Source organism: Homo sapiens, chromosome 8 (genome assembly GCF_000001405.40).
Source record: "Homo sapiens chromosome 8, GRCh38.p14 Primary Assembly".
NCBI classification, from domain to species: Eukaryota; Metazoa; Chordata; class Mammalia; order Primates; family Hominidae; genus Homo; species Homo sapiens.
This window is the reverse complement of record NC_000008.11, coordinates 143,597,505-143,611,635: the sequence shown is the minus strand read 5'-3', so window position 1 is coordinate 143,611,635 and position 14,131 is coordinate 143,597,505. Positions and strand designations below refer to the sequence as shown.

Below are 14,131 nucleotides of genomic sequence, written 5' to 3'. Positions count from 1 at the left end.
TCTCTCACTGTCCCTTTGTGTCCAGCAAGCCGAGGTGTCCTCCAGGCCTCCCCTGAGACTGGCCCCCTCTTGGGTCAAGGCCTCCCTACCTTTTAGGCCTCAGCTGAGGTGGCCCAGCCTCCAAAACACCTTCCCTGATGGCACCTTCACAGCGCCTCTCGGAGCATCCACCCTGCCCTGCTGGGATTGTTTGTCTGGAAACCTCTGGGAGCCCCGCCTCAACCCCTAACCCTCCCGCTGACACCCCAGGACCTCGAGCTCCAGGAGACGGGTTGGCCTCGTTCACAGTGTATCCCCTGGCCCCAGCCCTTTGTGGATAAAGGCTCTGCCCATGTGGGGGTTCAGGAAAGGCCTCCTGGAGAGGGTGGCGCCTATGTGGCTGCTTGGATCCACCAGGTGAACAGTGGGAAGAAGCCCAGCCAAGAGCAGAGAGGTGCCCTGGACACAAGCCTTGGCTGGCTGGGTGTCCACGTCAGCTGAGGGCTCCCAGCTGATGCTCAGAAGCCCAGCCCGGCATGGGACGGAGAAGCTGAACGGGGCTGGGCCCCTGGGCCTCCTTTTACCCACTGTGGCCCTGGGCACTCAGCCAGCAATCCTCCTTCACCTCGCCTCAGTCCACTTGTTTATGATGAGCTTTGTCCTTATGTATGATGGCATGGCACTGGATGCCTCTGGCCCCTCTCACCTCCCCACAGCCTTGGTCCTGAGCCATCACTGGCCCAGGGGGCCTGGGAGAAAATCCAGGGAGTCTGTGGGAAGGGGCTGGGAGGATCCGAGGTGGCAGGAGATACAGCTGCTGACGCTGTGTGCTGGTGCAAAGTGTCCACCACCCACGTTTCTCGGCTGCAGTGGCCGAAGCAGCCTCCTGGTGGCTTTCTGTCCCTTTCCACCTCATTTGCTTCAGAGCCTTGACACACTGGCTGTCCTGCGTGTGTGCTGACTGTAGTCTGTCTACACTGCCACCAAGCAGGGCTGCAGGGTGGGGTCCAGCCTGTCCCATCTGCTGCCGTGGGGTGATCTTGCCCAGGCCCAGAGCAGGGCCCAGAGGCTGCAGCTGCACAGTGAATGTTGAATCAATGAGAGGATTTCATTACTGAAGAGCTTAGAAAATGTCAAAGGCTTGGGCCGGCACGGTGGCTCACGCCTGTAATCCCAGCACTTTGGGAGGCCGAGGCAGGTGGATCACGAGGTCAGGAGATTGAGACCATCCTGGCTAACAAGGTGAAACCCCATCTCTACTAAAAATACAAAAAAATAAGCCGGGCGTGGTGGCGGTCGCCTATAGTCCCAGCTACTTGGGAGGCTGAGGCAGGAGAATGGCGTGAACCCGGGAGACGGAGCTTGCAGCGAGCCCAGATGGCGCCACTGCACTCCAGCCTGGGCGACAGAGCGAGACTCCGTCTCAAAAAAAAGAAAAAAGAAAATGTCAAAGGCTTCAAAAGAAAATAACATATGTAACATGCAGCTTTAGATTGGATGATGAAAAAACCGCACTCAGATCTTCAAGCCTTGTTTTCCTTGTGTCATTAAAAGTGACGAGTACCCCCTCCCCGACTGTCCCCTCCGTCGGTCTCAGGCCCCTGGCCCTGGCCTGCTCTCCGTGACCTGGGTCTCCGCCCCTAGTGCTTCCCCGCAGCTCCACCGTCTGTGGTCGGCGGGGCCTCAGTGACCGCACGCTCTGGACCAGCCCCGCAACCCGCTTCGCTACCCCTCCCCTCCGGAAAACCAACATGTGCTCCTCGCACGCGCGACCGGGACCCCTCCCCGCTCCTCCGGCCTCTCCGAGCGCGAGTACCCCGCCGGCCCCGCCCCTTACGGCCCCGCCCCCAGTTTCTCTCAGCCAATGGGCAGTGAGGGGCGGCATAGCCCTTTCGGGCCAATAAGCAGCGAGAGGCGGGGTTCCCGCGCCTTGCGAACTTGTAGAGTGCGGACAAAAAGCCGGCCGGAGTGTGCCGTCCCAGTAACCAATCGGCGAGGGTGGGGACGGGGAGGCGAGTCCTATTGGAGGGCGGGGGTGGGGCCTAGATCTGTGGGCGGGGCGCGGCCTGTGGATGGGCGGTGAGCGCAGCGGCGTCCGAGGCAACAAGATGGCAGCTGCGGAGCCGTCTCCGCGGCGCGTGGGCTTCGTGGGCGCGGGCCGCATGGCGGGGGCCATCGCGCAGGGCCTCATCAGAGCAGGTGGGGCGGCGCGGGGCTAGGCCTGCGGTCTGGAGTGGGAGCAGCCCCGTGGGAGGTGTCCTGCCGCGAGAGTGGGGCCGGGGGCGCGGGCCCAGCCAACCGGGTCTCCGCTCCGCTGGGCGCAGCCGGGGCCACGCCTGTTTGCTCTTACTTTTTTGACGTGGCTGCGGGAAGATTTGAGTCACACGTGGCTAGGTGCCGCTTCCGTGGCCGGCTTCCTGGCCGCGTGGCCTTGGCCAGGCTCACCTCTTCCAGCCTCTGATTTTCTCTTTGCGCGCCAGCCCCTCTCATGGGGAGCAGCAGGGCTTCTCCCCCAGACACCTTGGCTCTAGGGACACCTGGGCCAGACTATCCATCCTGTGCCAGCAGCACCCCCACGTTGTGACAGCCAAAAATGCCTCCAGACACTGCCGAATGTCCCCTGGGTGGGGGGAGGAGACAGGCAAAATCATCCCCTGTTGAGAAACACTGCTTTATACCCGGAATATTTATGCTGACCATATACTCCTCCAGGCATTTAGAAGCCTCTCTGCAGATTGTGGATAGGGAGAGCTGGGTGACTTTTGACTCTCTGCCTTCAGCCATACTTCAGGGTCCAGAAGAGTCAAGATCAATCGGGAAATAGCTTACTATGAGTCTCAGGAGTCTTCCCTGTGAAACCTGGCAGTACCGCATGCCTCCCAGAGCTGTACAGGTTAAATGAGACATAAATGTCTAGTGTTGAGCTTAGTACTGGTGTGTTTGGCTGCCACTGTCATGATTAATTGCTGTGTTCAGGTTGTGGTGTACACTTGTGCCTTCCTGTTCGACCTTACCAAAATCTAACCCAATCTTTCCACCCCGTACCCGACAAAAGCAGATAATTTCTACCAAGTAGGCATTTAGCCTTTTCTTAGACATTCCAGCATAGACTCTCCCTCTCGAAGAACCTGGGCCCCGATTGGGCCTTCTGTGGCCAATCAACTGCCTTTGTACCCACCACATTCCCCCAAGGCCTGGTGTTCCTCCAGAGGTACTGCCTCTTCTGCTCCAGGCAGCCTTCCCTTCCCTGGAGGCAGAGGCCCCAGGGATCTGTGTCCTCACCAATGAGGTAAGCTCCTGGCCTCCATACCCAGCAGCAGTCAGGGGCGTTGACCGCCAAGTAGAATCAGTGGATCTGATTGCCTGGGCCCAGTGAATGGTGCATCCCGCTTTGGGTTCCTGGGGCCAGGAGGGGGCCCAGGATGGGCCAGGCGTGGCTGAGCCTGAGAGGCCAAGTGAGCTCCCTCTCCTCTCCGTGCCATCCTATCCCACCCCTTCACCAACCCCTCTTCCTTTTCCTTTCTTTCCAGGAAAAGTGGAAGCTCAGCACATACTGGCCAGTGCACCAACAGACAGGAACCTATGTCACTTTCAAGTGAGCATAGAGCCCAGGTTCTTCATACCCTCAGGAGCCCAGGATAGCTCTTGGCTCCTGTCCCACTAAGACACTTATCAGAGCCAGGGATGGGTGGTTTATTTAGCTGAAGTTTGCAGACTGGCTGGTCTGGGCTGGGAAAAGGGAGATTAGAGGCCAGGAGGAAAGTAAGGTTGTGGAGGGCCAAAGCAAAGTGTTTGTGTGTGTGTGTGTATGCATGTGTGAGTGCATGTCCGTGAGTGTGTGTATATGCACGTGTGTATATGTGAGGCTATGCGTGTGCATGTGTGTATGTATGTGCTCATGTGCGTTTGCACGTGCGCTTGTGTGTGCGTGTGCACGTGTGGTGAGTGCATGTATGTCAGTGCATGTGTGTGCGTGTGTGTATGAGTGCATGCTCATGAGTGCATGTGCACCTGTGTGGTCGTGAGTGCACGTATGTGCTTGTGCATGTGTGCCTGTGCAGATGTGTATATGAGTGCGTGTGTGCGTGTATGAGTGCGTGCGTGTACACATGAGTGCATGCTCGAGTGGGTGTGTGTGCATGTGTTTGTGCTCATGAGTGCATTCATGTGTACATGTGTATGTATGCTCGTGAGTGCATGTGTCTGCGTGTGTGTATATGAATGCATGCTCGTGAGTGCGTGCATGTGCATGGGTGTGTTTGCATGCTGGGTGGTGGTCACAGACATTCACTGGGGATGGAGGGCTCAGGGCTTGGGGAGGCGCTGACATCAGGATGGCCTGTGAGGAGTAGGGCTAGTCTGGGGGAGTCTTGGGCACTGGAGAAGTCGGGGTGGTCTAGACACTTGCAATGGGAGAGGCCCTGGGACCATGGGAACGTGTGGCATCCAGCAGGAAGGGCTGTGATGGAGAGGGTGCGCCGCTTACATGGCCCCTGAGGCTTGGTCCTGGTGTCCCTGGCGCAGGCTCTGGGTTGCCGGACCACGCACTCCAACCAGGAGGTGCTGCAGAGCTGCCTGCTCGTCATCTTTGCCACCAAGCCTCATGTGCTGCCAGCTGTCCTGGCAGAGGTGGCTCCTGTGGTCACCACTGAACACATCTTGGTGTCCGTGGCTGCTGGGGTGTCTCTGAGCACCCTGGAGGAGGTGAGTGTCCCTTGGGCTAAGGCCTTGGTCCCAGTATAGGCTCTGCTGGCCAGGCTTGGGCGGCAGGCAGCCCCCCAGAGAGCCTGAGAGGTGGCCGTGTGGCCCACCTGGATCAAGTGGCTGGATTTAGGGTTCCCTCCTGGTGCTGTACCTGGGAGGCAGACGCTGGAGCCCACCGCGAGCTGACGTGGACCTTTCCTGAGGCCCCTGCTGGGGCCTGCCCAGCAGGGCCCAGTCCTACAGACTCCCTGATTCTGACCTCTCTCTGGCCAGCTGCTGCCCCCAAACACACGGGTGCTGCGGGTCTTGCCCAACCTGCCCTGTGTGGTCCAGGAAGGGGCCATAGTGATGGCGCGGGGCCGCCACGTGGGGAGCAGCGAGACCAAGCTCCTGCAGCATCTGCTGGAGGCCTGTGGGCGGTGTGAGGAGGTGCCTGAAGCCTACGTCGACATCCACACTGGCCTCAGTGGCAGTGGCGTGGCCTTCGTGAGTATTGCCTCGTCCATCCCCGGCCCCACCCTCGGCAAAGAGGGGGCCCACCCCAGTCCCTCTGACAGCCTCTGCCCTCAGAGTCCAACCTTGAGGCCTGCGTGGTTGCTCCCCAGGCCCACTGGGAGCTCTGCTTGTCCCCGGGACTTCACTGCCTTGGGGATCTTTGAGGCCAGCCCCTTTGCAGACCGTTGGGCTCAGGCCTTGGTTCTGGCCACCCACGGCTACTGCTCTGGGCATTGTTCCTGAAGGTCCTGAGCCCCCAGGCTTTGACACCTATCCCCCCCAACCACCATGCCGCGGCTACAGGTGTGTGCATTCTCCGAGGCCCTGGCTGAAGGAGCCGTCAAGATGGGCATGCCCAGCAGCCTGGCCCACCGCATCGCTGCCCAGACCCTGCTGGTGAGTGAGGGTGGCCCCTGGGGAACATCGGGAAGGCCCAGGCCTGTACCTCTTCCAGTGCGCAGGGAAACAGCAGGCTCGAGAAGCTGGGGCCAAGGTTGGGGGATGCAACGAGGGCAGGCCGCACAGTGGGGACCGCACCACCTCCCCCCGTCACCAGGCCCTAACGCTCTCCTCAGGGGACGGCCAAGATGCTGCTGCACGAGGGCCAACACCCAGCCCAGCTGCGCTCAGACGTGTGCACCCCGGGTGGCACCACCATCTATGGACTCCACGCCCTGGAGCAGGGCGGGCTGCGAGCAGCCACCATGAGCGCCGTGGAGGCTGCCACCTGCCGGGCCAAGGAGCTCAGCAGAAAGTAGGCTGGGCTCTGGCCATCCTTTCCTGCCTCTGTGCCCCTGCCTCTCCCTGTGTCCCTTCCCCTGAGGACTGCGGCTCCCTCCCTCCTGCATGAGGGTCTCCTACTGCTCCTTCTCCCCTTGCACAGGGAAATGCAGGGGGCAGGACTTGGGAGGTTCCAGCAGGCGGGGGAGCCCCGACCAGTGGGGACACTCCTCCCTCCCCAGTGAGCAGAAGGCACCGTGGTGGTGGCTCTGCCCCTTGCTGCAGTGAGCCCACCTTGCTGCAACATTGGTTCTGAGGGGCCCAAGAGATGGCGTCTTGGTCATTTGCCCGCATGGTTGGGCAGTTGGTTGAGGCCATGAACAGAACTTACGGTAACAGGCACGGCTGGCCCAATGCCTGGTCTGGAGCTGGAGCTTGCCTTTGGCTTTCCAGGTGGCTCCGTGCAGCTACAGCCAGGCCGGCTGCCTCATCTCAGCTCTAGGGGGCACGAGCCATATGGGGTCTGCACAAGAGACCCTCTCCCCTGCAGTAAAGCCAGGGGCCCTGGCCTGATGGGGCCCCCATGGGGAGCTGGAGCCTGCCCTGCAGCCTGGAGAAGAGGGTGGCTGTGGTGGGCGTGCTCATCCCCTGCTAAGGAGCAGGAGCTGCTGGGCCAGGTCTGCGGCAGTGCTGGGGTGGCACCAGGTGGGCAGTGGTAGGTGGGGTGGCTTGAGGTCTGGGAGGGTGGCCCTGGCCAGCCAGGACACATGCAGACCCCTGGCTTTAGTCTGGATACAGGCTCCCTCTTTCCTCCCAATCCTAAGCTCCTGACAAGTGGCCAGGTGGCTCTGGGCCCTCCTGCCCCGTGCCTAGGTCAGGGGTCCTGGAATACCCCGTAGCTCTGGCACCACCACACTGGCCTCTGATGGCAAGACTTGGCCCCTCCACCTGTCCCTAACGGACGGCAGGTCAGGAAAGCCAGGACTCAGGGGAGAAGCAAACCCCCAGGATTGAAGGCTAGGGTTCTAGGGCCTTTGGGTGGGGAGGGCCCGGGCCGGACAGCCTCAGCTCCGTCCCCTGCCCCACAAGATTCACCTGGGCCTCCAGTCCCACGCTGGCCCCAACTGCTGCAGCTCTCGGCTTCCGCCCAACAGCCTCTGGAGGTGAGGCGGGAGCATGCCCTCAGCGAGGCTGGGCGGCGGGTCCTGCTGTGCCATCTCCCTGTGCGCCTGAGCAGATCAATCCACCAGTGCAAAACAGGGCTAACGGCACCTGCAGGACAGCAGCACGCTCCATCCCTCATGCTCAGCTGCCTCTGCGGCCACGGACTTCTGCCCTTCATCTGCTCTCTCTTACTCTCCTGAGCCTAGCCCGTCCGTAAGCTCCCTCCCCTGCCTGGTTCCCAGGGCAGGCTGACTCAGTTGACTGCTTGGTCCAAGCCTGGCCCTGGCACTTGTCAGGGTCAGCCTAAGGAGATGGGAATAAAGAGGCCAGAGAGCACCAAGTGAGCTCATGTTTCACCAGAGGTGGATAAAACCAAGTTCTGGGCTGGGCCCAGTGGCTCACATCTGTAATTCCAGCACTTTGGGAGGCCGAGGCGGGCAGATCACAAAGTCAGGAGTTTGAGACCAACCTGACCAACATGGAGAAACCCCATCTCTACTAAAAATACAAAATTAGCTGGATGTGGTGGTGCGTGCCTGTAATCCCAGCTACTTGGGAGGCTGAGGCAGGAGAATTGCTTGAATCCAGGAGGCGGAGATTGCAGAGAGCCAAGATCATGCCACTGCACTCCAGCCTGGGTGACAGCAAGACTCTGTCTTGGAAAAAAAAAAAAAGAAGGTCCAATGCCTGCCCCATAAGTTGAGGCCTGGAACCTTGGTCAAGCACAGGTGTCAGCCGAAGGGGGTGCTGGCACTGTGGACAGCAGAGGTCTCCCCATGCCTGCTACAGGCCTCTACATCACCTGGGGGCTTTGTAGGGCATGGAATTGCAGTTTCCCCTGCACGCTGTCACCCCAGGGGACTGTATGCCAAGCCTGGGCAGGCCTGGGAGCCTGGGGTCTGGTGCAGGCGGCCCCCTGAAGGAAGGTGGACAGCCCTTCTGACGGCCACCTGCATTCACACCAAGCCCATCTGCAAGGAGAAATCATTGACTTTGCACCAACACCTGTCTCCCCCTGGGACCTCTGACAAGCCCTGGGCACTAGGTGAGCTCAGCTCGGGAGGTGGAGATCCCAAGCCAGCCACTCCTGGCCCAGCTGGTGAGGGCCTGTGACAAAGACACGGGCTCAGTTCTCGGCACGGCAGGGAGCGTTGTGGTGAGCCAGGCCTCCCCTGTGCCTTCTACTTCCAGGTGAAAACTGTTCTTCAAGACAGAAAACGATGGATATGATTACGGTATCTTTGATCAATGTTCCACTTTTATGCCCTATGCCCCAACTGTTAATCTAGGGGGTATTCCTGATCCAAGCGTTGGATCAAGAGTTTAAAAATAAGACTTCAAAACAGGGATGCTCATGAAGTGGACATGTCCAGCCTTTATTAGATAAAGCCACTGGGCCCATCTGACCAGGCGAGCTCAGCTGTAAACAAGCTCGCCAGTTAGAGGAAGGGCCCTCAACAGAGCATGACCCCACAAGCCTAGGGACTCCGACATGCTGTTGGGGCTGCTCCCCATGGGTGTCTCAACTAGGTAGGTAAGGGGTTGGGGTCTCTGCAGGACCCCCCCGTCTGGGGGTGCTCCCCTTCCTTTCCTACCACAGTGTGATGTTTCATCCGCAGCCCAGTGGACATCGAGGGGGTCCCCCAAGCCTGCAGGTCCTTGGGCCAAGGCAGTGGCCTCGTCCCCCTGAAAACGCGGGTCGGGTGGTTTCAACAAAACCTGCACTCATCTTTCCCTCCTCAGCGCCTTCCCTTCTCCAGCCCCCACAAGCCCAGGAACTCTGACAATGATGCTGACACGGGGGTCACTAACTGGAAGAGCAGTGAACAGGAGCTGGGGGCTCTTGGGGGCCATCTGAGCTGAGGACAGCTGGCTGTACCTCCGAGGCCACAGGCACCCCCACCCACCCCTGCGCCTGCAGGGAATGTGCAGAATCTGCCAGAGCGGAGGCCAGAGCCCGCAGGCAGCCACGGCTGTTAGAGGAAGCAGATGCAGCCTCACCCCAGCCCACGTCTGTCACCACAGCCAGGGCCTGGCAGGCGATGGCACCCGCGCAGCTTTGGGAAAGAACACTTGGCCTCCCAAAGGGTTCTGCCACCCCTGGGGGCCGCTACAGCCACCAACCCTGGGGTCTTTCCATCACTTCAGACACTGAGCAGAACCCAGAGAGGGTTAGTGAGCTGCAGGTAGGGCTGGGACGGGGCCCCAGGTTCCAGCCCAGGGTCTCAGGGATCCATGGCTGGCACTGCCCACAGGGCCAGGCATGGGCAGAGCAGCCTTCTCAGCAGCGGGGCCCAGCGGCCAAGCCTCTGTCACACAGCACCCTGTGCCAGCATGCCCCGTGCTAGGGAGAAGATGCTTTTTAAGCCCTCTTTAGGGGGTATTTCCCGTCTAGTAAGTGCCAGCAGGCAGACCCACTCTTGACAGGCTCCTAATGTCCCCACCAGCGTGCACCTGCACTTTTTTTTTTTTTTTTTTGAGACAGAGTCTCGCTCTGTCGCGCAGACTGGAGCGCGGTGTTGTGATCTTGGCTCACTGCAATCTCTGCCTTCTGGCTTCAAGCATTTCTCGTGCCTCAGCCTCCTGAGTAGCTAGGGTTACAGGCACCTGCCACCACGCCCAGCTAATTTTTGTATTTTTAGTAGAGACGGGGTTTTCACCATGTTGGCCAGGCTGGTCTCGAACTCCCAATCTCAGGTGATCCACCCGCCTCAGCCTCCCAAAGTGCTGGGATGACAGGTGTGAGCCAACGTGCCTGGCCTCTTTTATCTTATAGCAAAAATTAGTGCTGCCTTGTTTATAGAAAGTGGCCATTGAGGGACTGGGGGACAGGCCACAGCCACCCCGATGAGAGGAGCGGGCCTGCCCTCACCGACACCAGCCTCCTGGGACCCGGGCCAACAAAAGGGCTGAGATGGGAAGAAAGGTTGGAAATGAAAGCCTCGCCAAAGACGCAGCGGCAATGAGTAGTTGGGCTGAAGGGCAGCGCCACGGGCCGCCCAGACTACAGACAAGGCCTGGCTATGCAGCCCTCACTGGCACCGCGGCCGTGAAGTCAGCTTCTCCTCAGAGCCCTGGAGGCAGGCCTGGCAGAGCAGAGGTGGTGTCCCCGCCTTGGGGGCCTGTGCCCCTGGGAAGGTGCTGGCCCAAATGTCTCAGGCTTTCTGCAGCCCATCCCCAGCAGTTCAGGCCAGAGGCTCTTCCTGCAGGTGGCGGTGGCCTGATGGGCTCAGCAGGCATGCCTGGAGCTGCTGCCCTGAGCTCTGCTCAGGGAGTCTGTTTCTTCTTCCCCAAATTTCCACGGCCTCCCTGAGCTCTCAGATTTTGAGATATAGATATATACATATATATGTATATATTTCTTCACTTGCGGGCAGTTCCAAGGAACTGTTTGTTCCTGGACCTGTATAAAGGTCACTTTTGGGGGACACCCTCCAGCTGCCCCACTGCCAAGCTGGTGCACAGCCCTTCCCTTCCCCGTGCAGGCCTCCAGCCTACCCCTGCACTCCACAACTCTGGGTTTTCAAGGTTCCCTCTCCTAGGAGGACACTGGGGGCAGATGGGGACGAGGGGTCAACACCTGGAGGCAAGCAGGCCAGCTCCCTGCCCCTCACACCAGCTCGGGCAGCATCTCTGCAAAGGCAGTTCCCACCCTACCTGAGGAGGCATGGGCATCCCTGGCCCCAGTCCAACCAGAAGGACTGTAGGTCTAGACCTGGCCAGAGCAGAACAGAACCAGGGTTTGACAGGCCCTGGGGCCCTTTCCTCCTTTCAAAGTAGGCCTCCCAGGAGCAGCTTGTCAGCCACATCCTTGGCAGTCCCAGGAGAGGCAGAAAAGTCTGAGGGTGGGGAGGAGAGCCCACAGAGGGTGGCACTGCGTATTGCCCTGGGGGCTAATGCCAGGGCCTGCTTCCAGGTAAGTCAGGTGGCTCCAGGCCCTGGGACTGGACAGAATGGTCTGTGGCTGATGAGGAAGCAGGGGAAACTCTCCTGCCGTTGGCCAAGTCACCAGGGCCCAAAGCCAGGCAGCTGCCAATCCCACGGAATAAGAGATCTGTTCAGTTTTCTTAGGGAAAACTAAAAATCCAAGGAAACGGAACTCTACACCTCCCTGCTGCACCCAGAACCTAATACAGGGCTCCACCCCTCCCACTCCACAGTGATGCTCCAGTACCTGGGGCCTCTGACCTCCAGAGAAACCGCAGGGCGGCCCGAGACCAGCCCACCCGGCCCCTGTTCTCACGGCCCCTCTGAAGAGTATCTTTAAAAACAGATTTAATGTGTTAAAAAAAAATAGAATCAAGTGGTGTGCTTCGCCACTGAGATGATTGTGCTGTGGCTCCGGGGCCACATAGCACCAGGGCTCGATAGCAGACAGGAGTTTCGGCCCTCGTCCAGTGCATGTGACTGGTGCAGGGGCGGAGGCCCAGCCCCACGGGGGCCAGAGCAGGAACACAGCCACCTGTTCCAACAGGCGCTGTGCCTTGTATGCCCCGTACATGTGCCTGCCCTGAGAGGAGCATGGGCCAGGCCTCTCTTCCAGCTGTGCCCCCAGGGTGCCAGTGAGGCAGGGCGACCTCTCACCAACAGAGCTCCTCCAAGCCATGCTGGATTTGGATTCCTGGAACCCCCTGTACCCATGCGGTGGGCCACCCCAGGGGGAGGGGAGGAGAGATGGGAGACTGTGTGTATGTCCCCTCCCTCCAAGTGCAGCAGGAGAAAGGTCACTGGGCTGGCCTGGTCACACACCGTCATAGGGGCCTGCTGGGGTATGCCCGATGCCCCCCAGCCTCCGGGCCATGCTGATGAGTGAGCGCAACTGCACCAGCCTCAGTGGCCCCACCTCTCTGGGGTCCTGGTTCTCCAGCCACCGCAGAGCTGTTTCTAGCCCCCGCACGGCCTCCCCGGCAGTCGGCACTGAGGTCCCTCCATAGTCGGTGGCCTCCTCCTCGTCCTCTCCGCCCCCCATGGCAGAGGGCAGACTGGCTGGGGCCGGAGGCGCTGCAGGGGGCAGGGCTGGGCCCACCTCCTCCCTGCAGCCCTCGGGCGGACCCCCATCATCGTCCAGGTGCAGCCACTCCGCAACCTCCTCCGGAGCCAGGCACTTGTAGGCCAGAGCCGCCAGGTGGGTGAGGTCGCTGAGCACCCTGCTGTGCTCGGCGGCTTCCTCGGCCTGGGCCGGCTGCCCAGCACTGTCCTCGCCGGGCCGGGGCTCGAAGGCAGCCCGCAGGCCCAGCAGCCAGCAGCGCTCAATGCTGCCCGCCTGCACCAGGTCCCAGGAGAGGCCAGCCAGGTAGAGCATGTCCTTGAGCATGAAGCTGCGCATGAAGTCCAGCGGGGAGCCGCTGGCGCAGGACACAGCCAGTCGCAGCAGCTCGCGCTTGTACAGCTGTTTGAAGGCGGCCACCACGCCCTGCTCCAGCGGTGCGGGGATATGTGCCCGGCTGCTGCCTTTGGACAGGAACAGCACCCGCACAGCGCCATCCGGTGTCTGCAGCTCCTCCGGGGGACCGAGGGGCTCCGGCCTGCACCGCACGGGGGCATCCTCGCTGTCCAGGGCGGGCATACTGGCAGCTGGGCTTGGGCAGGGCGGGTGGGCCACCAGCAGCACGGCCTTCTGCTGCAGGCAGCTTCGGCGCAGGTAGCGTTTGACGCCTGGGACAAATTCCTCAAAGAACCAGCCCCGCAGCAGCGGGCGGCTGAGCCAGGCGTCGGGGCTGTAGCGGTAGGAGGCCGGGAACTTGTCCTGGTTGTGGTGGCGCAGGCTGGGCGGGTCCGGCAGCCGCCCGATGACCAGCGGCTTCAGCTTGTGGCTGCCGGTCAGGTTTGCGGCCAGCAGCACCGTTACGCGGTCGCCCCGCCAGCGCCGGCCACAGCCCCCCGCCCCGGGGTCCCCTGCGCCCGGGGGCGCAGCCTGCTCCGGAAGCAGCTTCCAGTAGAGGCCGGTGACGCTGGCGCTGTAAATCTGCTCGTCCCCGTAGCCGCCCTCGGCCGGGGGCGGCGGGGCCGGGGCGCGGTCGGGCAGGGGGCCGGCGCCGGAGGGCAGCGCGGGCTCCTCCTTGACGGGCGGGCCGGGCGCGGGGCTCGGGGCTGGGGGCCCGGCCTCGCCGTAGAAGCGCTGGCTGGAGATGCCGTGGCGCTTCTGCCAGCGCCAGAACCAGCCGTGGCTGGCCTTGAAGGTGCACTCGGGCCCGTAGATCTGGCGCGCGAAGGCCTCGGCCTGCGCCTGGATGAGCGGGCCAGACAGCGGCACCCCGTGCTGGCGCAGCGCCAGGAACCAGGCGTACACGGCGCGGTCGATCTCCTCCTCGTTGGCCAGCCGCATCTTCTTGCGCTGAGTGCCCACCTCACCGCCCAGCTGCTCCAGGAACCAGCGCAGCTTGGGCTCGTCCTTGAGCCAGCCGCGCAGCGTCCCGCCCGGCACGCCGAAGTCGCGGCACACACTGGCCTGCCGCTCGCCGCCCTTGACGCGCTCGATGGCCTGCAGCTTGTCCTTGATGGAGTAGGCCTTGCGGAAGGCCATCTTCACGGCCACGCGGGGCCGCGGCCCGGGCGCGGGGGGCGGCGGCCGTGCAGCGGGGACGGGGGCTGGGGCGGGCGCGGGGGGCCCGGGCAGGGGACGGCGGCCGCGGCGCGGTACCGGGCCGGCCGGGGGGCCCGCGGGGTACATGGCTGCGGCGGGGGGGACCCGGGCCGCGCGGGTCGCGGGAGCCACACGCCCAGCCGCTCGGGGCGGGGCACTCGGGGGCGGGGCCGCACGGGTCCCTCCCCTTTGTCCCGCAGCTTGGCGGGCGCACGCGCGCTGACCTAGCCCGGCCCGGCCCCGCCCCGCGCCTGCGCGCTGGCCGCCTCGTGCGTCACTCGGCGCTTGCCGGCTGCCGGACCCGCCCCCACCGGCGACACCACTGGCCGCGAAGCGCAGGGGGGGCGCGCGCGCTGCCGCCCGTTCCCAGCACTTGTGCAGACTCCTCCGGGGAAGAGCGGCCTCCGCGGTCATCTCCAACGGAATTCTGCCTTTGAAGTGTCGGGGCACGGCGCGTCGAGGGTCCTGGCGGCCAGGCGGGGCGTG

The 14,131-nt window shown here is 62.2% G+C and overlaps 2 protein-coding genes across 4 annotated transcripts, besides 1 other annotated feature; one reads left to right on the top strand and one right to left on the bottom strand.

The window, feature by feature from the left end:
• Nucleotides 454-953: an enhancer, noted in NCBI's record as "H3K4me1 hESC enhancer chr8:144692853-144693352 (GRCh37/hg19 assembly coordinates)". NCBI's record gives its function as "activates a minimal SCP1, AML or CMV promoter by ChIP-STARR-seq in naive H9 embryonic stem cells {active_cell/tissue: H9 hESC(naive)}" and the evidence as "EXISTENCE:reporter gene assay evidence [ECO:0000049][PMID:30033119]".
• Nucleotides 2,061-8,426, top strand: PYCR3 (pyrroline-5-carboxylate reductase 3). Of its 3 annotated transcripts, NR_138144.3 has the most exons (7): nucleotides 2,061-2,178; nucleotides 2,760-2,872; nucleotides 3,510-3,574; nucleotides 4,504-4,683; nucleotides 4,957-5,169; nucleotides 5,482-5,574; nucleotides 5,754-8,426. NR_138144.3 is itself a non-coding variant. In NM_001329866.3 (6 exons), exons 1-6 carry the CDS (start codon nucleotides 2,088-2,090, stop codon nucleotides 5,934-5,936), a joined length of 765 nt encoding a protein of 254 aa, NP_001316795.2. In that variant the 5' UTR covers nucleotides 2,061-2,087; the 3' UTR covers nucleotides 5,937-8,426. The 3 variants fall into 3 exon arrangements, 2 of the variants coding, with proteins under 2 accessions (NP_001316795.2, NP_075566.3); NM_001329866.3 differs by lacking the exon at nucleotides 2,760-2,872 and having other exon boundaries at nucleotides 5,017-5,169; NM_023078.6 differs by lacking the exon at nucleotides 2,760-2,872.
• On the bottom strand, nucleotides 8,412-13,805 carry TIGD5 (tigger transposable element derived 5). Its single transcript, NM_032862.5, has one exon. It carries the CDS (start codon nucleotides 13,730-13,732, stop codon nucleotides 11,804-11,806), a length of 1,929 nt encoding a protein of 642 aa, NP_116251.4. The 5' UTR covers nucleotides 13,733-13,805; the 3' UTR covers nucleotides 8,412-11,803.
• Between the last annotated feature and the right edge of the window lie 326 nt (nucleotides 13,806-14,131).

Coding starts and splice junctions, on each gene's coding strand:
- PYCR3 (NM_023078.6), top strand. CDS start 2,088: ATGGCAGCTGCGGAGCCGTCTCCGCGGCGCGTGGGCTTCGTGGGCGCG. Junction 2,179..3,509: donor GCAGGGCCTCATCAGAGCAG/GTGGGGCGGCGC, acceptor CTTTCTTTCCAG/GAAAAGTGGAAGCTCAGCAC. Junction 4,684..4,956: donor CTCTGAGCACCCTGGAGGAG/GTGAGTGTCCCT, acceptor CTCTCTGGCCAG/CTGCTGCCCCCAAACACACG.
- TIGD5 (NM_032862.5), bottom strand. CDS start 13,732: ATGTACCCCGCGGGCCCCCCGGCCGGCCCGGTACCGCGCCGCGGCCGC.